This window comes from Homo sapiens, chromosome 3 (assembly GCF_000001405.40).
Source record: "Homo sapiens chromosome 3, GRCh38.p14 Primary Assembly".
NCBI classification, from domain to species: Eukaryota; Metazoa; Chordata; class Mammalia; order Primates; family Hominidae; genus Homo; species Homo sapiens.
The window spans coordinates 110,638,864-110,663,311 of NC_000003.12; the positions used below are offsets into that span (position 1 = coordinate 110,638,864).

The window sequence follows — 24,448 nt, forward strand, 5'->3', positions numbered from 1 at the left end:
TCAGATCTACCTGAAGTTCGGCTCCAGCTCTCCATCCTATGATTTTTGCTTTATTCACAATAAACTCACACAGTCTTCCCCCAGCATGTTTCCCCACATTTCACATGTAAAATATACCTTCAAGTAACGTATTAGGAAGAAGTAAAGTCATTGTGTGGAATAAAAAAGAAAGTACTATATAAATGTAAACAGTTATTGAGATGAGGAAAGAAGTTTATTGATTTTGATTGTAAAAGATCTTGTTGAACATGTACTTTTATACTATAGGTAATGGGAGGTTAAAACAAAAAGGCAACATAACATAAGAGAAAGTCTCTAATTTCATAGAACTCATAATCCCATTATGAAAACAATATGTGTGTCCATAAAATATCAACAGTACTAGGCATTTAATAATTAAAGACAGAATTACTTAGAATTGGAACTTAAGGATTTATGGGCTGGAGGAAATGATACTTAAACTGGGTTTAAGGCTAGGAAGTAAAGTTCCAAGTGCTTACAGAGATTGTGTCAGGGAACTTGTGGAGGAGATAAGGGGGATTTTAAATTCTTCTGGCTGAACAATCAATTTCTAGGTAATGGAAAATGATGGAGAGTTTTACGACTAACTCATAACCATATCTCAATGACCTAAGCTCCAAGTACACTTTGTTCCAAAATTGAGCTTTCAGCAAAATGTCCTTTCTATTATGATTCTGACACTAACTTAAAATGGGTTGAAATGCTGATAGATATATATTCTTTTAAACACCAAATCAGGAAGTAGAGAAATGGGACAGATAATTGATCTCCCCATTCCCATACTCATTAAGCATCCACTTGCTCTCTGGGAACACAGATTATGTGTACTCACAAAGCCTGGTGCATCGAGTAGGTGTGGATCCCTTAATATACTCGAAGAAAATGCCATATGAATGGATTAGAATATGTCTCATATTTGGTGAAGTAGAAGCATTTTCCACTGTCTACCTAAATGAGCCAGAACTATTCCCAATAGTTCTGCATCATAAATGAAGAGAAGGTAGATAGTTCTTCCAGGAATTCTTGAGTGCTTGCAGAACTTATTAATGTATTAATTTAGGAACAGAATTCCCAGGAATATAAACAACACTTGCCTCAAAATATCAAAACAATCTTGGGGAAAACAAACATGTATTTTTTAGAATTAAATTTTTTCTTTCCATTCAATCTAAATGATATATGTTTACAGAGAAGTGGTAGAGGTAAAATTCTCTCTCTCTCTCTTTCCTTGTCCCCTTTCCATGTATGTGTGTGTGGGTGTGTATGGGTATCTTTCTGAACAAAAAATATACTGTGAAAATACTGACTATAGCACAGTAGTAGAAAATATGTTAGAATCAGCTTAAATTAATTGTGAGGTTCCATGGTGTAATGGTGAGCACTCTGGACTCTGAATCCAGAATCAGCTTAAATTAAACCTATACTGTTACTGATAGCCTCAAAAACATTTAAAATTTTTTAAACTAATGAAAGTCTTCATTATTAACTTCATCATAATTGTTATCTACAATGAACTATTTTTAGTTTAATAAGCAGCTATAGATGCGAGTATTTTGATTTGAAGCATTTATTAAAATACATATTTTTTAAACTACCCAAGGCCAGGATTATAAGAGCATTTAGTTAGTCACTTTAGCATATATATTCATGGGTAGAGGGAGAGCAAAGAGAAGAATATAGAAAAAAAGAAAGCATTTACCTGACTGATTAAAGACTTTATGGAACCAGATATAGCCTTAGATTTCCTAAGGGGCAGCTTTAGACCACTGACTGCATTTTCCCTCTGTTCGTCTGATATCTCCAAATTGTAGAGCAATTGATGCTGTTTTAGGAACAAAGCAAATACTTAGTACATATATTTCAAATAATTAAAATATATAGAAATCTACAGCAATGCAAAAAAAAGTTACACTCCATGCACAGCCTAAATTACAAACAGTATAGGTTGAAACACTTCAATTCTCCAAAGACCACAACTCCCTTTGTCAACCAAAACCACGTTTTTTGCATTTTCCTGAAAACAATCATGGACCTTTAATGCAAGAATCTAAGAAGTAGCGATGATTCTGAAATTGATTGGTGGCTAAGACACTGGTTCACGTACTGCAGTTGGCTTTAATGGACTTTAAAAATAATTTTCTCTAGGACACCTCAGAGACATGAAACTAGATAATAGTGACAGGTAGAAGCCACTTTTTTTGGAAATTTCAAGGCATAGGTGAGGGAAAATTAAAGACAAAACTTAATGTGAAAGAATCTTAGAGATGACTCTTTATATATCATTTGGAACCACAGATTTCAAAGCAACTTTACACAGCATAATATTAATTGGAATTTGCAAACAAAAATAAAGCTTATGCCAAGTAAATGAATTTATACACACCTTTGTATAATTTGTTGGGATCCTCTATTTTTTGATGCATTGTATCTATTTCCAGGAAACATTGATGTGGTATGCAAAATTTTAAGATAAACCTCAACATTTCTATCCCCTAGAGTACACATCTCCTATAACACTCTTCACTTGAATCCAGGTGCCATCTATGATTATGATGGATGTCACTCCAGTGATTATGCTAAATTATACAGCAAAGAGATTTTGCAGATTAAGGTCCCAGATTAGTTTGAGTTCATCAAAAGGGTGATTATCCTATGCAGGCCTGACCTAACCAGGTGACCGTTTTAAAAGAGGGTCAACGTCTTTCCTAAAAGGGAAATTCAAAGAGATAAATTCACCTGCTGACTTTGAAGAAGCAAACTGCTTTGGATGAGGCCATGTGGCAGGGGGACCTCCAGTAGATAAAAGTGGCACCTGACTGACAGAACAAAAGAGCAGGGACTCAGTCTTACAATCCCAAGGAAGTGATTCTGTCGAGTTTGGGAGAGGACTCTGAGCTCCAGATTAGCAGGCAGCCCTGGTTGACACCTTGATTTCAGATGTGTGAGACGCTGAGCAGAGAACTCAGCTATGCCATATCCAGACTTCAGATGTGCCAAAACTGAGATAAGAAATGAGTATTATTTTAGGTTGCTGAACCAGTAGTAATTTGTTTTTCAGCACAGAAAACTAATACAGTCAATCTGTATTGAACAACTACTATTTTTTTCTGCTTCCTGTCTATCCATCTACCCATCACTTTTTCCTCTTTTTCTAGAAACAAGTCATATTTCCTTTAGCAAACTGGTCCTCACAAGTTCCGACCACATAATTCTCTTAGAGGTTGTTAGTCACAGTATTCTCTTCACACTGACCCTAGCAAAGGGTCTGTGACAATCCACACCAGTTATAGAACCCAGTGATAGTGGTCGGGCATGCTGAATGGCCCAGGCATTACCATTTGGCTCAAACAAGACCAAGAGAATTCCTCTATAGGAAGGTTCTTAAACTATCTAACAGGGAAACTGATTTTCACTCACTAAACTGAAACTATGCCCATGGCTCTGTTCTCTCTTTGTTTGCTGAATCCTGGAAAAAGCTTGACTTAATATAAGAGTATATGAAACCAATAAGTAGAAAGAAGCAGACAGGAAAGATGGGAAGAGAGAGACTTTATCCCAGTAAAGTCCCCAGTTCTAATTCTTGGAGCTGTTCTTGTCCCCACTCCACTTTTTTCTATTACTTGTGCTTCTAAAGTTAATTTTTATTGAGTTCTGGTAACCAAGAGTGCTGAATTGGGTTTTGGTACCAAAAGGGAGCTATTCATTATAATATCTCACTTTCTTACCCCAAAATTTCTAATGTAACACCCAGAATTTTTTCTCTTGCCTAGAGAAGGTAACTTAACCTAGAGAAGGTAAATCTTTGCTTTTGTTGTATATACCAAATGCTATAACGTGCCCTTTTGACTTATTAAGTAGGAGGAGAGTAGAAATGACACTCAACTCTTAATAAGATGAAAGAATTCAGACACAGACATGTGTTCAGTAAGGCTTTCTTTCTTTTTCATTCCCCACAAAGTTAGTCTTGTCAGGAAAATCACTGCACTCTTTGAGCAAGAAATTAAAATCCCTCAGATTGATATGAAAACACCATACCTTTCAGGCTACCAACTAAAAACGGAGGCCAACACAGGCAGAGTGATATGCTTTGGCTGTGTCCCCACCCAAGTCTCATCTTGAATTATAATTCCCATAATCCTCACGTGTCAAGGGAGGGACTTGGCGGGAGGTAATTAGATCATGGGGGTGGTTTCCCCCATGCTGTTCTCCTGATAGTGAGTGAGTTCTCATGAGATCCGAGGGTTTTATAAGCATCTTGCATTTCCCCTGCTTGCACTTCTCTCTCCTGCCACCATGTGAAGAAAGTCTTTACTTCCCTTTCACCATCTGCCATGATTGTAAGTTACCTGAGGCCTCCCAGGCCGAACTGTGAGTCAGTTAAACCTCTTTTCTTTATAAATTACCCCGCCTTAGGTATAATATCTTTATAGCAGTGTGAGATTGAACTAATTCACAGAGGATGACCAAGTGACTCAGTTTAGACAACTCCAAATGAGAAAATGTTATGGAATCATTTAGGACATTGTGCTGAGTCCTTAATTACAACCTACACTTAAGAATTCTGTGACACTCTGGATTTTGATACTCATTTACCTAATTCATCTGAAAGACATATTTATTTATAATCTTAGCCTTAAATCCTCATTGGTAATAATAAAGCTGTGATTTTCAGTTGGTGGTGGTCTCATTAGAGTATTGTAAAGTCCTAGGACACATTAGAAGAGAAACATTCTTTATGTAAGAACTAAAGCAAATACAGCTAAGAAGCCACACCTTTTATATCAGATCAGCTACTGCCTTTGATTTTTATCTCTGTGATGCAATTACTACAGTTTAATATACTTCTCCCATCTATGGTCCCTTACCCACCACACTAAAATTTAAAAAAGAAATTATACTTTTCTCATGTGGATTCAGAGATTAATTATCAAAATTAAGGAATAGCAATAACTTCATTGAAAGTAAAGTAAGGGAATGAATAGTGATTACTTCTTCCAGTCCTTCCTGTGTGAGGGTCATCTAAGAGAATATCATCCCGAATTCAGCTGCTGATTCCCAGGGAAACTGTCAGCAGTGGCATCCTGCAAAGATCTGCTCTATTTAAGTGACAAAAATGCTAATCAAAATGGAGAGGAAAATTTTATAACTAAATACAAAACTTCGATTTAATAATTATTTATCGAGGGAAAATTATTGACTGAGTAATGTAAGGACATGAAAAAAGTATGAAACATGGCCTCTACCCTCACACAATATAGTTGGGAAGAATTAAAAAAACCACAAAATTTCTAAGAAACAATAAAATATTATGTATCATTAGCTTCATGGAAGAGCTAAATATTGTTGAATGTCAGCAATATACATTTTGTAATTTTTAACTCCTCTAGTTTTCAGTGTCTTCATCAGTAAGATATGAACAATAATCTTCCCAAAGTGAGGGTTGCCGAGTCTGTCCCGCAGGCTCTGGCCGGGCGATGGATGGAAGAAGTTCGCTGACGTAGGTATTCTGCCTGACAGCGCGACTAAGGGACCACACGGCTCTGCCTCGCCGACGAGAGAGACCAGCAGCCACCGAGAGTGCAGGCCCCATAAGTCAGCCCCGCTCGAATTTATTTAGTACAGGTTTAATGACAAAGGCTTGGAGTAAACACAATTTGTGGGTAATAAACACTGTTGACCTCCCCTCCCCGCCCCGAGTAGAGAGCAGTCCTGCACACAAATGATCAAAGTTTGATTTCTGGAGGCAGGAGTAAATAAATTTATCTAGTTAAGGTCCTTTACATTCCCTTGTTATCTAACCCTTGCTCTTAAGAAAATTTAACCACCTTCAGCCAAATACTCTTTCGAAGCTTTTGCAAAACCTCCTGGACTTCCAAGAAGGTTTGCATCTTTCCCTATAATTTTTATAACTTTTCCCACCACCCTGACTGATCTCCTACAAGGATTAAATGGGATAAGGTGGAGGTACTCAATATGGGGTACTATTACTTTTCACATTTTTTATACACTATACTGTTGCCCTTTTCCCTACAGCCAAACAATTGAATATGAAAGATACAAACCTATTAAAGTGAGATTATTGTTCAGTAGGGTAAAGACTTACCAAACCAGGTGATCTATGTCAATAGAAACAAGATATAAACTCAGGAGCTCAAATCAAGCCAAAATAAACTTCTACTGAAAGAAACTTAAAGAGGGAGAGAAAGTGTAATTTGGTCCACTTCAGGGCTTAAATAACCTGAAAGAAGTCAATTAACTAATCAGAAACAGATTAAATAGTCTGATGCTCAATAAATGTATCTTGTGAAAAAATAAAAAAACAAGAATGAAAAAAGATACTTCCATGCACATGAAATCTAGGATTTGAGGGGCAAACCTGAATTTCAGTCTAGACAAATGGCAAACCAGTAGCTATAGGCCTTCACCATTTAATCCCTAGGATTTCCCCAGGGAAAGACAGGAATGAAGAAAAGTGTGTATGCTTTCTCAGCAAATATGGCTTCAGAAGAAACAATCTTGTTCACCTTCTAAACAGATTAAACCTAAGATACTCCTACCTAAAATTTCTGACACCATTACTGTGTGAGTTTGGGGCAAAAGAGACAGTGTATACCTTAGTCAATAAACAGAGCAGCTTAGATTTACGTACACAAAAATACGTATTAGATAAGAAATTGGAAGTGAAACAAGAGGTGACGGTTGAAGTCTGATCATTATTTTAAGCTCTGCAAAGCAGAATTAAATAACAAGACTGGTATTTATGATATTTGCTGTCATTTTAGACATGTGTCTTTGTAATATTTTGTTAGACTTACAAGATTTAGACATTTGTTGTTGCCCCATCTTGCAACCACAGTGTTTTTTACCAGTCAAGCACTGATCTGAACTACAGATCAAAGGTACATATCTAAACCATGGATTTTCATCTCATTATCCTTGTTAAATGAAATCAGAACACTTGACTGAAGCTACTGAAAAGATACATAAACCAGTATTACTAGACTTTATACTTAGATGAAATAAAATATGAAAAGTATGAATTTGGCAGTGTTACATCATATAATCACTTAATTCAGGAGAATTCAATCTTACTTGTTTATCTAGTTTTATGATGCCTGTAATTAAGTAATCAAAAAATTAAAAATAAGTAAAAATAAAAACAGTGTAAGTAGTGCAGTTAATTTTGTCTACCACTACATCCAGCAGGCACATACCTTATCCTAAAATGAGTGTGAGATAGGAAATGTGTAACTCCTATTATTTTAGTCTTTTACATTTCTAGCATTCCTGTGTATGTGAGCAATTTACTTCATTGAATGTAATTTAAATATTTAAAGATTAATATATATGTACATATATATACACACGTTTACATGTATATATATACACACCCACATACATACTTTTTTGACTCACCATAGCTCTTAAACACAAGCCAACCACTTGTTCCCTCTAAAAAAGAACATCACTGTATACATTATATATTTATAGGTGTGTAATGCTGCACAGGATTGTATTTTAAAAGCATCCATTTGTGCTCTATGAACCTTTCAGAGGTTTTTCAAATTTAACTTTGACTCTATAAAGTTTTATCCTTACCTATAGGCAGCAGTACCTAACCTCTACCAAGGCTGCCTCTATGCTTGTTAGTTTACAAGGGAAATAAGGTTTTGGGAAAACTAGAAAATTGAAGGCAGAAATACAGCTTAACATTGACTCTCTTTGTAATCACAGATGAAATGTCTTAAGAATCAAATCTGGAGGGCCCCAGATAGGGCAGAAGTAACCACAATTCAAAAAAAACATTACAAAAGATCAGATGTTGGTAAAATAATACTTCAGAGTGAAAAGTTTTTGGTCAGAAGCTTTCAAAAAATGATTACTTAATTGTCAAAATATGATAAATATGAGAAGAGAAAAAGCAGCTTTTAAAAGACTGACAAATCAGAAAGAGGTAGATATAACAAGTTTTGAGATCTGCCTTGAAGAAACTTAAAACAGAGAAATAAAAGTCAAGTGAGGAGTCAGGGTAGTGAAAACGGCTGTATAAAAACACCAAGGAGAGGAAAGAATGGGGAACAAATCAGAGTATCTCATTAAGGCCAGGGTGCCCCCAAAATGACAAGTATTATTCATGGAAATGTCTGTGAATGGAAACCATGAGGACAATTGCTTATGGGATCAAGAGGCTGTCTTTTCCATGGATTATTAGTGGCTGGGGAGCCATGACCCGAAACTATCCTTCCTCTTTGAGTGGGAGCCAAAAGAGATGTTAGAAAGTGATGATGGGAGGTCTAAGGAAAGATAAAATGATACGCCTAATGAGGGTTACTTTGGGAAATAGAATTAACCAGATCATGAGCCAAAGACAAAGAATGAGGCCATGGGCAAAGGGAATGAGCCACCCAATCTATACACTAAATTAAAAGTAGCAATATGTAAATATCTGACTCACCCCCAAAAAACTATGAAGAATGTGCTTGCTTATCTCATGTATCCAAGCTTCTCAGGTTGGTGGGATGATTATGGTGAAGAAATGGAAGGACAAGCAATGGAATCAAGCTAACGTGAGGTTAAGAAAGGCAGTTCTGCAGGTAGCTCTACAAACTGTTTTATACTTTGAATGTCATGCAATATTTTGCGCTAGATATGATCAGAGCTTGTCTCTTAAGAGACAGAGTTACCCCAGGTGTCTTGTTATTCACTCTCTCTGAAGTAAGGTTTTGGCCATTCTCAGAAGACTCCAAAGTGGCAAGTGACAATAATTTATTCTCAGATAGAAAAGATGCAAACTCTTATAGTACTAACATGTTTTTCTTACAAAATATTTTAATAAAATAACGTGATATTTTAGTAAAATATTTATTAAGAAATATTCTAATAAAATAAAATATTAAAATATTTTAATAAAATAAGAACTGTTTTGATAAAATAGCTGATTTTAATAAAATAAAAATAATTTTAATAAAATAATATATGCCAAAGACATTACTAAATTTCTTTTACCTTGTTAGCACGTTTGGAGCATCAATTAACCTAACAGACAGAAGTTTCAGGTTTTAGAATCAAACAAACCTAGATTTCAATCTTAGCTTCTCCACTTAGTAGACATAGGACTAATAAGTTTCAGTTTCCTCACCTTTTAATCAGCTACAAAAATTAGCTAGCTTAAAACTTTTTTGAAAGTATTAAATAAGATAGTATATGCAGATATGTTGCTGTCTGTGAAAATATAAGTATTTAATAAAGGTAACTACAAGTATTAACTAAACATCACTTGAAATAAATATTTTTAAGATTTAGTTCTCAAGCCCATCTGAGACTAGTACATGACAGAGACACATATTTTCTTATTCACAATCACAGTGATTATGAAACTCATTAGGTACTTGTATAGCTATCACGGTACAAGCACCTTTCATTTATTAGAGCCTTAAATTTCTTTTTTTTTTTTTTTAAAGACAGAGTCTCGCTCTGTCGCCAGGCTGGAGTGCAGTGGCACTCAGCTCACTGCAACCCCCGCCTCTTGGGTTCAAGCAATTCTCCTGCCTCAGCCTCCCAAGTAGCTGGGATTACAGGTGTGCGCCACCACGCTCAGCTAATTTTTGTGTTTTTAGTACAGACAGGGTTTCACCATGTTGGCCTTAGATTTTAAAATGGTCTAAGCTAAGATGAGCAAAGCATCAATTTCTATACCTTTTCTGTAATCACATACTTGAGCCCTATGTAAATATAAGCAAAAGTGTAAATTGAGTAATATTATCCTAAAGGGGAAGAAAATAACAAGTGATAAACTGGTTTTCAAGGACTTGTTTGTTTTCAAATAACAATAGATACAAGCCACAATATTTATATAAATAAAAAATCAAATCATCCGATCACAAAATCCAAGGACATATTTTCAAGTCATAAATATTAATAAGCCAAGTTTGACTTCAAATATTAACATGACTGAATCAGCCAGATGTTATTCCATGTATTTTTGTGATTTTGATTTCTGCACAGATATTCATTCCACCATAAAAATGTGTTCAAAGATTGTGAAAATATCACTAGAAATTGAAAGATAGAAATAAATGGAATGCAATATGATTCCTGAATCTTTTATTGGTGTATACCTATTATGGTTATATTAATAGTTCCATCATGATAACAACAGTTAATGTTGAGAAGGTGTGTGAAATGGTAGGTCAGCTAAGGGATCAACTAAAGAAACCAGTGATATTCAGTTTCCATTTATGTATTCTCCTGGTCTCTTTTCAGCCAGCATAGAAAATCACCAGCTCTTGGCCAAATATTGTAGTCCCCACATACACAGTTGAAGGGAAAGACTGTCATTATATTGCTAATATTTGTGAAAATATGACATGACTTTTAAAAAGTCATTTTAAAAAGACATTTAAAAAGTCAAAAGATGTAGCAATTGCCTTTGAAGCATGTTTCCTGTGTCTGTTTCCTCTTCTTCATTTTTGTGCAAGATATCTACCTCTCCATGCAGGCCCTTGAGTCTGCTTTACTCTCTGTAACACCTCCCTCTCTATCTCTGCTTGTTTATTAAGAGTATCATAAGATGAAAATCAAGTCCATGACAGATGGGCATAAGCAGTGATCATAAGATAAATTTGATGAAAGCATGGGGTAAGCACCAAAAGCAAACTGCTATAGCAGATACCAGTATCTATTACAGGGACTCAGTACATATTTCTAGAATGGATATTTCATTTAACCCCACTAATAACACAGTAAAATATGTGTTATTATTCCCTATTAATAAATAGAAAAACTGGTGTTAAACTAGATTGGGTAAATTGCACAGCAAAAAATAAAAATATAGCAAACTGGAAAGAAAAATTACATCAAACAGAATGTGAAGTACATGTTTTTGCCTTTATTCCATTATTCCGTATTTGCCTTCACACTGGTCTCTGTCTATATATGTATGTGTCATATATATGTGTCTCTTCATTTTAACATTGTTTCTTCCTATCTCTTCTGGCTTTTATTCCCTTATAATAACTATAACATCACACAAAAGTTTACAACATTTGCTGCAATTATCAAGTAACACTTTATGTTCTCTGGTTCTCATTTCTAAAAGGAATTTGGAGGCATAAAGGAAAATGTTGAATATGTCTTATTTGAAAAAAAGAGAGAGAGAAAGAGACAGCGCAAGTACAAAACCCTATAATTTTTTTTCTCCCCACGGATCAGGTCAATAATAAAAAATAATAATTTTATATCCCTCCCTATATCATAAAACAATATCTCTTATTTTATTGCTACTAGGCAAGTAAACCAAAATCAAAGACTTCATATTTTTTAATGTGTATACTTAAGTAGCTTAAAGTATAATAGGAAATACAGCAGATGTAGGAATTGAAAACATAAAGCCATTTTTAGCTAATTATACTTTTTAAACTAACATTTATTTTTAAGCTCATTCTGCTGCATTTATCATGGTCATCATGAAGTCAAAGTAGATGGGAAGCAAAAGCAGAGCGGGGGCAGTTAGAAGAAGAAAGACAGAAGAAAAAAGATGTTAGGTCAGTTGAGGATTGGGGTAAGAGGGAAAGAGAATAGACCAGGGAAAATAGCACTTTATGTGAAGAGAATTAAGATTTTTCTTTTTTCAAAAAGCTGTTAGGGAAGAAAACAGAACCCCAACCCATGCAGAAGATAGACATATAATTAGATATTTAACATAATACAGAAAGAGATGGCATTGAGGCATGTTAGAGTAATAAGAATGCCATAGATATTAATAGGACACTTAGCCTAATCTGGGGATGTAGGGAGAAGGAGATTTTGAAGGGTTTGCCCAGTAGAAGTCTTACAGGATGAATAAGAGCGAACAAGAATAGGAAGGCCATTCCAGGCCAAGCCAAATCAAAGCACTAAGAAAATGTGTTGTGTGCTGAGGGGCATAGCAATCTGAAGTTACTGGAATATAGCAGGTAATATGAAGAATAGTGGGAAATAAGTCAACAGATAGATACTTGCAAGTTCATAGAGAGTTTGTCCCTTAGTGTGGGAGTAGTGCCTGGAATCGATGTAAAGTAATATGATCTGCAGTCATTGTTTGGTTACCTTATAATTATTGCAAAGTAGATTTGTTTATATTTTCCCAGCCTTTCATCACCACTGACTCCTTTCATACAAAATTAAAGTAAACATATAAAACATGGACAATTCTTCAACATTCTTTTAAAGAGAGCTATCATTATCATGGAAGCTTTTAATGTTTTTAAGCTGAAGACAAAAAAAATTAAAAATATGAGTGAATATTCCTAACAGCAGAGGTGATTTTTTTTCATGCCTGCAGCATGGAGGAATGAATTTCAACTTAGCAAATACAATGGTAAGTCCTTTATTTTTGTCACTTACAAATGAATAGTAGCAAGATCTCATTTTTTCAATTGCTTTTTTAAATACACATGTCACAATTAAAGCTTTTGAAAAGTGTAGAAGTCCCAGAAAATTATGAGGCAGTCATGTAGCACTGGAGTCCTCTGATCTCCATGCCCTTCCAGGCCTAATGATTATTTTCAATCTTGTAAAACGTAGATAAATCAGCAGAAACCAAATCAAGCTGCTCCACAGCAAATGCCTGACCTCAAGTTGTCTGCAATTTCTTTTCACTCAAATAGGATGTCTCCTTTCAAATTCTCTACTCCATTTAGCACATGCAATTTCTAAATCCATAACATATTCATTCACTTTTTTGTCTCTCCTGAGAAATGTGCCCTGTTCTTGGCATGCTGGGATAACTAAATGAATTTTCCTTCAAAAGGCCAATGTTTTCTAAACTCACTGATTTATCTCAGTCTGCATCCATCAACTTTTGAGTATCCGTCTGTGTTCAGTGCTATGCTAGCTACAGTGGGAGACACCAATAAAACTCCAAGAAAAGAAACTCGGTACTTTTCTCATTGACTTTATGATCAAGTTTTGGGAGACAAGACAACATGCATACAACATCTAGGAAACAATTTGAGACAGTGTATAATTAAGTGTTGAATGTAGTACTGACTGTAAGTGCACAATTCTTCACTAATTACCAATTGCTTTAAGGAATTAATACTTAACTTTGGGGATTTCAATCACAATTTCTCTGTAAGCCTTAATTCTTGAAACCAGCAATTCAATTCATTTCAAAGAGTTACAAACATACCGTGGTTTAGTAAATTATCAGCATTGTTCTCAAAAATGTTTTTTTCCATTAAGCAATTAATTTAAATCCTGATTGTTCTGACCGCCAGGGCCTTTCGGGAGGTGCTTGTTTCTCAGACACAATTTGATTTTTCAAATGAATTTTCAACTGGTGCAGGATTCAGAGCCCTGAGGGGAATGAATATGTTTTCTATCTAGAAGCAGGAAAAAAGGAGAAGTCCATAGCAGGCCAGTTCTCCCCTCTCGTGGGAATGAAACTCCAGCCCTGGGCTTTCCTTTTTCCTGTCTTCCTTTCTTTTCTTTTAGCTACTTTTCTTTCCCTCTTCCTGTCTCCCCTACTTTGATTGTCTTATGGCCCCTCTTCTGCCTTTGTTTTAGTCTGGCTGTAACATTTGATGCAGAAGGGCTGGGCTCCCAGCTAAACCCCACCTTTAAGCCTGGAACTGCAACTCTAAGTGAAAACAGTTGACCCCATTTTTCCACCCAAATGTTGCCTTCTTGGTCTGCCATGCCCCTATCCTGGACCCATAAAAAAGACTTCAACTGGCAGAGCAACACAGGTGGCTGAGGGGCGAGGATACAAGTGGCTGATGGGCGAGGATACAAGTGGCTGAGCGGCGAGTAGAAAAGTAACTTAGTGTCCGAGACTACAGATAGATGCATCTAACTTCAGACAGTGCAGCTTCAGGGAAAGATCACCTTCTTCCCACACCATCTCTTTTCAAACTCCCCATCCTGCTGAGAGCCACTTCCATTGCTCAATAAAATATCCTGCATACACTATCCTTCAGTCCGTTCACGTGACCTGATTCCTTCTGGATGTGAGATAAGAACATGGGTGCGGAGTGGTCGGGGCTTGAGGGTTGCTGCAGGGCCCACACAAAGCCTGCTACCGCCAGAGAGGAGGGACCAGCTGGTTCCAGGGTTTTATTTGCTCTGGTTCCCACACTGTCTTGCTCACACACTCCCTCTTATGAGGAATGGCCAGCGGTGGGATGAGTGAAACAAGCCACTCCAGTTCCCGCCTACTAAGGGGGTCAAGGTCAAGGGAACAATCCTGTCTCACATGGCAGAAAAAGTCTCCTCACTGACACCCCTCAGAATGGAGGAGGCTCCTGACTCTGATCTTTGATGCCTCCCTTGCCAGCATGTTGGACAGGGGCATAGCATGGATTATGGCAACAGAGAATAAGCTCTTTCCATCTATGGAACGTTTGGAACCTTTAGCCAGTTTCCAGTCAGCTAGTAGGTGTGCTAAGAGGATTGCAAACATATTTTTCTCACTTCCTTCAGCTCCCCTGAGCATCTTCATGGATTCAATCAGCAAGGGCAGTGTAAAGGGCAGCCATACCCAAACTTGCCCTTTGTTTCCCTTTAACCAAGAAATAATGGGCCGCTGTTATGTTTGAAATGACACTTGTTTCCTCTTCTGTCTGAATGTGGTATAGGCTAGAGGACAAGTACATGTTACTCCACTTCTCTGAGCTTCTGTTTTCTCCTCAGTAAGAAAGTGGTATCCACACAATGAGTTGCTATGGAAATGAACTGAGAGGACAGCATGGCAGAAAAGAAAACACAGACTTCCCAGCTTCAAGTCCCAATTCTGCATCTTTCCAGGTAGATAGCCTGAACAAGTTGTATAACTTTTCTATGTTTTAAGTCCTCATCTCTAAACCAGGGATAATATCAGTATCTATTTCATGGACTTTATATCTCAGAATTCAATAAGTTGAATTATGTAATACATATACAAAACTCTGTAAATATTAGTCTTTGTTACGTAAAGCAACTTGTACATAGTTGATACTCTAAAAATGTAAGTTCTCTTCTTTCTGTTCATTTGGAACTACTGGAGGGTGTAATCCCCAGGAGAATGACTACGGCTGTCTACTAGGAAATGTTATTTCCTTATGTTCACTGACCATCACAAAGCCTTCGGCCTTTAGTACACGAGCTTTCAGCAGATCTAGCTATATGCACTGAAGACTTCCTTAGTAAGTCACTAAAAACTCTAAATAATGGTCAAAATAGGACAAAAACGTGCCAACATCAAAAGCATTTTTGCAGTAGACTGTGCAATTAGGAAATTTTAATTTGATGAACATAAAAATATCCAAGAATGCTCAAACAACTTAGATGATAAAAATAGAAATGAATGGATTTGAGAAATTTCTGCTATTATTTTACTTTTTACAAGTCAATGGAAAACAAAATTTATGTAAGTGGTTGAATAAAGATATTTTTTCTTAACATATAGCCCTACCATAATTGATAGCATTTATCTTGTTCTACCTACAATGAGGGTTCAAAAGTGGTCTTGAGCATTTAGTAGATAAACAAAAGATGAAGAGAAAGGAATTTAAAGCATATCACCAAAAAAGTCATCAAATCAAAAAGGAAGACAGCAAGAAAGGAAGAACTGAAAGTAGGAACTACAAAGCAATCAGAAAATGACTAACAAAATGGCAATAGTAAGTCCTTACCTGTCAATAATTACTTCAAACAAAAGTGTTTTTGATGGTGAGCACATTCCTGGGATTGACTAAACTGATGACAGGGGAATAAGAGTACAATTTCCAGTAAGTCTCCCACCCTCCAATTACTAAAACTTTAATTAGTAATTTCTCTCCAAAGCTAAACACCCTGGGAGCCAGATTACTTATGTGATCATGATAATGATAATGATGGCTGATACGTATTGAGTGCTTGCTCTATGTCAGACACTGTCCAATACATTTCACATCTCTTATCTGATCGACTTATATGATCACATTTAATGCTATCACAGCTTAATGAGCAGAAACTATACTTTTTCTTTTTTACAAATAAGTTAGTTCAGAGAGTCAACTACCTTGCTCAAGTTCACACAACTGAAAGGATGATTCCTACTAGTGCAAAGGCAGATAATGCAAATCCGAAAGCAGTTTGCAGTTAACTTTTAAAGTGATTTAATTGGGTCAAGGTTCGTCAACAGCAGAAGTTATCCAATATAAAAATCTGCACAGTCATTAACTTTTATGGTTGCAATATTGGCCTTAAATATCAACTACCTCCTTATTTGCCAAGTCATATAATTCTGCTCCTAGGCACCAAAAACTGAAAATTTTTAAGATACCTTATTTGTGCTGTACCAAATCTCTCCAATCCAACTTATAAAACACAAGCCCTTTCCCAATAGACAGGATCTGTATAAAATCTAATCTTTTTCGTTTTACAAAAGAACAAGTAACAAGGCTTCTGGCCAATTTATACAACAGGTACAGAGGCCTTTAAATTCCTCACTGCCTTCTCCTTATCAAGAAAGTGAATTATTACCAAACTCCCAGCTCTCAAAAAGAGGTCAAAAGTCACTTTGCTCCAAAGTCCTTGCCAGGTAAAATAAAGTGGGAGGAAAATGGCAGTTTTATTCTGAACCAAATTCTTGATTCTCTAGATTAACACAACTTTTAAAACCCAGATAAAATTTGCAAGAATAGTTGTTACGTGAGGGTGGGAGACACGGGGAAGAGGAGGGAGTTGGAGAGAGAGTAAAATACTTGAGAGCCACAAAGAAAGACAGTTCAGAGTAGACAGTAGATAATCAACTATTCCTAAGGTAAAATGGTAGAGTTCGAGTGATGTATATTAAAGCATTATTAAATGAAGAGCTAATCTAGTAATATTGCCTGCTCTCTTACTGTGCATAGAAACTTAAAAGCTATCCAGGCCTTGTCTGGAGGAGAAATGTCCATTAAAGATTGAAGTGCTTTGGAAATCATGTCTCTTGGTATCCCTTTGATGCCCAAAACCAACCTGGAGAACAAAATAAGGGCATGGTACACATATCCACGTATGCAGAAATATGAAGAGGGAGAGAGACCGAAGGGAGATGATAAAATACAAAACAAATTTCAAGACAAGTCAGTCATCAGAATGTCTTTCAGTTTATAGAACCATTTGTAGAAATCAAATTCTTGTTTGCATGTGATTTTGGAAACATGGATTTTCCTAAAGCTAAATGGATAGTGAATTATTTTTTTACAGAAAGTAACCTTGGAGGCCTTTAATATTCTCAGAGGGCTGTTTTGGCTTTGCACATATGGACTACAAAGATTGTAGGAGAATTCTAACTTATAAACTCAATTTGTTCAGATGAATTAGAAAAAAATAGCCTACGAAAGATTAACTTGTAATGCGGTTAAGACAAAAAGGTTACAACTTTATAGTAAGGTTGCTAATACACATGAAGATTTGATTATGAAGTACTGATCCCATATGCCACACTCAAAAGATGCTTTAATTCATGAATAGTAGCGTATCATAACTATGAGAATAGCAGGCAAAATGGCTTCACATATAAATAAAAATTCCAAGGAAGCTGGATACTTAAATGACTTGTTTTCTGGCAAAAGATCCATAGAGTATAGAATGGGTTTGTGTCAAAGTCAATTGCCTGAACGACATGGAAAGCATGTGTATCACACGCTAGACTTCTTGCCAAAAAGGAAATGTCTTTTTCAAATCAACAACTTTGTTATCTCCTTTTGCAACAGTGATTACATTTGAGTTTTACATTATGGGTGCAATGAAGCTGGAATTTACTGCCTTAATAATAGATCAAAGCAAATCAGAAAGTAATTAGTTGATAGAGCAATGAGCTGCTTATCTGAACAACTCGTTTATGGAACATAAAGGAACAGGAAACCCTTGACTTCTATAGCTTTTGAAATAAAGAAGAGGGAAATCTCTATGGAAGTACAGTTTATCAGCAGGGTGAAATCCAACTACATCTATTCTTTTCTCTTGCAAATTAGTTCCTTTTATTCCTTAGGACTAAACTTCCTAATCTGAGAATCCATTTACCTTCATTGCATATGTTTCCCTAAAGGCTGCATATTCATTTTCTGGATATTAGATACCCTATTTACCACAGCCTGGAGCCTGGAGCCATTTGCTGTGCAGGGTTTTCTCCCCTCCCCTTTCAAAGAAGAACGTTATAGTGAAAATTACTGATAAAGGAAGTGAGTGACAGACCCTTATTGAGCAGCTAGTGATCATTACATTTTGATTTTATATTATTATTATTATTTAGCATATTAAGTGCCTACTCTATCATTATTGTGGGTGACTTCTCAGGGAGTAGCAGAGCATTAAGTTTCAAGAGGACAGAGTTTAATATGAGGTTGAAAATGGTTAACAACAGGCTGAGGGCCTAACGAAAACACATTTAGAAAGTCAACCAGAGGGATTTTTATTTTAATGAAAAAGAATAATGAAAAGCCCTCTGCAGGGAGAGCAAATTTGACAAGGTTATTTAAACATATATGTGGGCTTTAATGTTTCAAAGGAGTTTTTTTTAATAGGATTTAATCTAATTTGTAGGTTTGGACCTGAGTTTCAGGGTAGTTGCAAGATAGTCTTAGAGAGCAAGACTCCTTTGCCACCAAATAAGAATGTAGAATAGATTTTAGGGTCTTTGTGTTGGACAGGGACTAAGAGATGGTCTAATTTAACCTCTTCATTCATAGGACAAGACACTGAAGCTCAAAAAGTAAAATGAATTCTCCAAGACCATGAAGCTAGTAAGTAATAGAGCTGTACTGAGGGTCACCATATGATGAGCACTTATGCAGGCCATGTCTGTTAGTAACTTTATATCTGTAATCCCTACGATATACTGCAAGCAAGTATTATTATTGCTATTTTATAGCCAAAAAAAGGAAACTCAAAGGATTTATGTAATATACCAAAAATCACATAGTCAGAAAAAGAAGATTGATGCTGGGGGTTGCCCTTAGCTGCTCACCCCAGCAGAAGGCAGAGCTGTCCGCTGCCCATCACAAAGCCTTCAGCCTTTAGTGCACTAGCTTTCAGCAGATCCAGCCAGGCTCTGTCTTCCAAACCTGTACTATCAACTGACCTGTTTCCATTTGCTTATGCTTTAATTCTGATCTCCTTGACTTGATATTTTGAATGCACCCTAGTTTTCAATTCAGCCCTAACCTCTTCAGAAATTAGATCTTATTCCTCTTGGCTCCTACTTGGGATCACTCCCACCCCTTTTTTCCTTCAGATCCAAGTCCTGAGACCCTACCAAAGGCCAGTGATCCTGGTTCAGAATCAATTGAGGGGCAGGTCAGGTAAAAATCTGATTGGTGCAACTCCAAATTGGGTGGAATGGAGGTGGTAGTGGGTGTTGTGTGATGGCCAGGGTATGCTGGAAAGGAGGGATATGGGACCAATCTGGCAGCCCAGTGATTCAGGTACCATTTCTGTCATCAGAGATTGGTTTATGATTGGAATGCAACTCCCAAATCTACCCTCTAAAATCTGTAGGGTAGTACAGAAGCTGCTGACCTGAGGATAGTCAGCATCAGATTGAGTCAGAGCTACTTTGGCAGTGGGGATCATCTATGGTTCCAGCAGTGAGGTGTGAGGACCAGCAGAAGCAGAGAACCTGAGGCACAGCCTAATACACTGCTCCCCTTCCCAGACCTCTCTGTCACTTCCCCAATCTTCTGCAGGTGGGATCTGTTGCAAGTTGTCAGCAATGCCAGGACCAACTCCCCTGCTTTCTGCTCACATGAGCACCATCTTGGGAGAATAACAGTTTGGGGATTTTCCTCCACTATATCTTGCGCCCACCGTTAATGATCACTTTTAACTTCTTTCAGCCCCAGTTTTATCTCTTAAATAGTATATACCTTAAAAGAATGAATGAAAACTTTGTTTACAGCTGTGGCTGTGACACTGAGGTCTCTTAGTAAATTTAATATATTAAGCCTGAGCCAACGTAGGCCAGAAAGTATGTGAAAATAAATTCACGAATGCATTTCTACTTTTATGACTAATTTCTGTGAGGTAGATCAGATATTTTAAATTTAAACTAATGATCAATATGCCTGAAAACTGCCATTGATATAGCATACATTATAAAAATATTGCAGCTTCCAAACAAAATATGAGAAATCACATCTTAATAAAACTAATATTTTAATTCTTGGGTAAATCCATTAGGAATTTAATTAAACGAAAACCAGCCACTGTACTGCAAAGTTTACAGAACCAATGAAACAATTCCAAAAAAAGTCTCTAATCTACTAAATTTCCTCCTATCTTACATAAGATATAATATAGCATACTATATAAGTGATCCAGTGGATATAGTTTGCTCAGAATTTTTAAATAAGCTTTTTTAAAAGTTTCTTTATAACAGATTATAAAGGGAAAGAAATCAGTAGAGGATAAAGGGCAAAATACTGTGAAGAGTTGCTGTGAAGAGTCATGGAAGTCTTAGTGAACAGCTGTGACTAAGAATGAAGTTAGTAATTAGATATCCAGAGGTCTAGCATTGGTTCTAGCATTGTTCAATACAGTGTATTTGATGAGAAAGAGGTGGAGAAACTGGGAGATGCATTAGTATGTATAGGGATATAGGATTTGACTGCCAAATCTGCCAATGACTCTGCTTTAGGTAGGTGGACCAAGTTGGTCAAGAACAATGAAAGTTATCACATGAATTCAGCATTTTGAGATTTATGCAGAAATGAAGGCACTTACGATTCAACTTGTACCAATAGTCATACCAGCAGAAATTAATCCAAATTTCTCTGAAATCTTTTCTGCAAAGTAAACTGGGTAAAAGACAATCTAATGTCTATGTAAATAGTTAAATGACAAGAGCAGAATGCAATTCTAACATGAATCAGTTGTATAAATATAAAATGTTTATCTATGAATTTCTATAAATTATGATAACAAAGACAAGTACTCATTAATTTTTTTAAATGATTCAATATACTTTGTTTTTATTGGATATTCATGTTATCCTACATTGCCCTAGGCCTTAGCAGACTGTGGTACAAATGAGTTCATATTAGCATTGATACACAAATTTTCATGGAAAAGAGTTATCACTTTCACAACTGCCTCAAAACCTTCAAGGTTTCCAGAGGACTAGCATCATTTCTTTCCTGAGAAAAGCCCACTTTAGCACTAAGACTGGAATCTGGATGCTGCGTGAGAAATCTGCATCCCTAATGTCCTCAGCATTTCTCCCAAAACCACTTAACTGATGTGACAAGAACTTCTGCAAGCCCTTGAGTCTTTAAGAAGGATGTATTCTTCACAACGAGCCACAGCATTACTTTTGATATCACATGCTCCTCCAGGACCTTGCTACTCTCTCATTAAGAAGTAGATTCTCTTTTTTCTACCCTTGAAACTGGGCAGGCTTGAAACAATAGAATAAGTAGAATAAGGCAGAAGTGATGCTATGTGACTTCCAAGACTAGATAACAAAAAGGATATAGCTTCTTCCCAGCTGTCCCCTTTAAGATCTTGGCACTTAGAACTCAGCCACCATTTTGTGAGGAACCACAAACCACACGTAAATACCATGTGTAAGTGTTCCCATCAGCATCCCCAGGTACGATATTAGTATACAGCTGCATCAATTGCTAGATGTGCACAAAAAGCAGACTTCAGGCTAGGTACAGTGGTTCACACCTATAATCCCAGCATTTTGAGAGGCTGAGCCAGGAGGATTGCTTGAGTGCAGGAGTTCGAGAGCAGTCTAAGCAACACAGTGAGACTCTGTCTCTACAATAAAAAAAATTAGCCAGGCATGGTGGCACACACCTGTACTCCCAAATAACAGGAGTTCCAGGCTGCAGTGAGCTGTGATTGTAGCACTACACTCCAGCTTGGGAGATGAAGCAAGACCCTGTCTCAAAAAAAAAGCCTTTAGATTATTCCAACTGCTAGCTTTGGAGTTGCTCAGCTGACTCCTAGTCAAGCAGCAATGAGTTATCCCTGCAAAATTCTGTCCAAATTGCAAAATGTGAGCAAAAGAAATGTTGTTATTGCTTTTTGCCACTGTTCAGGGTGGTTTGTTATGCAGTATTACATAGCTGAAGCAATCCTCCTTCATTGCAGCTACACATATTTCAACACGGAACTGAGAATACCAACATCCTTAATTCTATGTGAGAATTTGAACATAAATTCCAAGCCTATGCCTACCCAAATACTACAGAATCCTTCACAAAAACAAGCCTCATGGCTTCTGCTTTAGACATTTCCCAAAAAGAAGCCACTGAAGATTCTTGGCCCAGCACAAAGGTCTTCTGTCATCTCAAGGTCACTATTTCTCCCCAAGGAACTTTATTCCTAAATTTCCTAATAGCAGACTCCTTTTATGCATACATTTCAACATGTAAATAGGTGCCTGTGCATTAAAGATAGGGCTAAGTAACTGTTCCATAATTTCAGATGGAACATGAGATTCACTCAAATTCCCACTTCAGGCCCAACTTGCTCCCATTATGTTTTATAACCACATCTGAAAGGGAAACCTTCTAAGAGGCTGTGATTTCATTCTCTGTCATGGCAATGTCATTTGATGAGTAAAGTGGCCAGACAATATAAATAAAAATAAACGAAATTTTATTCTTGGAGGGAGACATTTTCTTGTTAGAAATCTACTTTATGAAGGTTACAGGGCTACAATAGAAGTCAAAAATGTTAATACTTCTTAGAAAGAATGTCACACTACCAAGCTAACACTTAGCGGGGGTAAAGTAGGAGGGTTATTGACAGGGTTTGGCTCTGTGTCCAAATCTTATCTCAAATTGCAATCCCCATATGTCGAGGGAGGGACATGGTGGGAGGTGATTGGATCATGGGGGCAGTTTCCCCCAGGCTCTTCTTGTGATACGGAATGAGTTTTCACAACATCTGATGGTTTAAAAGTGGTACTTCCTGCTTTTCTCTCTTTCTCTCTCTCTCTCTCTCTCTCAAGATGAGGAACTTATTGGGAACTGGAGTAAAGATTACTCTTGCCTATACTTTAGCAAAGAGACTGGCAGCATTTTGCCCCTGCCCTAGAGATCTATGGAACTTTGAACTTGAGAAAGATGACTTAGGGTATCTGGTGAAAGAAATTTCTAAGCAGCAAAGCATTCATGATGTGACCTGGCTTTCTCTAAAAGCTTACATTCAAATGCATTCACAAAGAGATGGTTTGAAACTGCAAGTGATATTTAAAAGAAAAGCAGAGCATAAAGGTTTGGAAAATTCACATCCTGACCATGTGGTAGAAAAGAAAAGCCTATTTTTTGGGAAGAAATTCAAGCCAAAGCCAGCTCCAGAAATTTGCATAAGTAACAAGGAGTCTAATGTTAACAGCCAAGACAATAGGGAAAATGTCTCCAGGGCATTTTGGAGATCTTCACAGCAGTCCCTCCTATCATATGCCTGGAGGCCTAGGAGAGAAAAAAGGTTTTGTGGGCCAGGCCCAGGGCCCCACTGCTCTGTGCAGTCTTAAGACAAGGCACTCTGCATCCCAGAGGCACCAGCGCCAGCCATGGCTAAAAGGGGCCAAGGTACAGCTCAGGCCACTTCTTCAGATGGTGCAAGCTCCAAGCCTTGGCAGCTTCCATGTGGTGTTGGGCCTGTAGGTGCACAGAAAACAAGAGTTGAAATTTGGAAGCCTCTACCTAGATTTCAGAGGATGTACAGAAATGCCTGGATGTTCAGGCAGAAGTCTGCTGCAAGGATAGAGCCCTCATTTCCTCTCTGCTAGGGCAATACAGAGGGGAAATATGGGATTGGGACCCCCATACAGAGTCCCCACTGGGACACTGCCTAGTGGAGCTGTTAGAAGAGCCCACCAACCTCCTAGATCCACTGACAACTTGGACTGTGCACCTGGAAAAGCCGCAGGCACTCAATGGCAGCCCATTAAAGCAGCCATGGGGGTTGTACCCTGCAGAGTCACAGGGGCAGAGCTGCCCAAGATCTTGGAAACCCACCTCTTGCATCAGGGTTTGGTTCTGTGTCCTTACCCAAATCTCATCTTGAATTGTAATATGCATATGTCAAGGGAGGGACCTAGTGGGCAGTAATTGGATCATGGGGGAAGTTTCCCCCATGCTGTTCTAGTGATAGTGAATGAGTTCTCATGAGATCTGATGGTTTAAAAGTGGCACTTCCTGCTTCGCTCTCTCTCTCTCTCTCCTGCTGCCATGTAAGACATACCTTGCTTCCCCTTGGCCTTCTGCCATGATTGTAAGTTTCCTGAGGCCTCCCCAGTCATGTAGAACTGTGAGTCAATTAAACCTTTTTCCTTTATAAATTACCCAGTCTCAGGTATTCCTTAGAGCAGTGTGAAAATGGACTAATACAGTTATAGAAAAAACTCTTTATGCTTTATAAAACTATGAAAAGCTATGAGTTATAAGACCCTACACTGGACAATTAGAGAAGAACTGAAAGG

The 24,448-nt window shown here is 37.3% G+C and overlaps 1 long non-coding RNA gene across 1 annotated transcript in view; it reads right to left on the reverse strand.

Annotated features, from left to right (window-relative positions):
• LOC105374037 (uncharacterized) overlaps positions 1 to 24,448 on the reverse strand; it is a 112,561-nt gene that overhangs the window by 84,131 nt on the left and 3,982 nt on the right. Inside the window, exon 2 of the long non-coding RNA XR_924328.3 lies at positions 1,721 to 1,843. This is a non-coding gene — a long non-coding RNA (uncharacterized LOC105374037). The remainder of the gene's footprint in view (positions 1 to 1,720; positions 1,844 to 24,448) is intronic.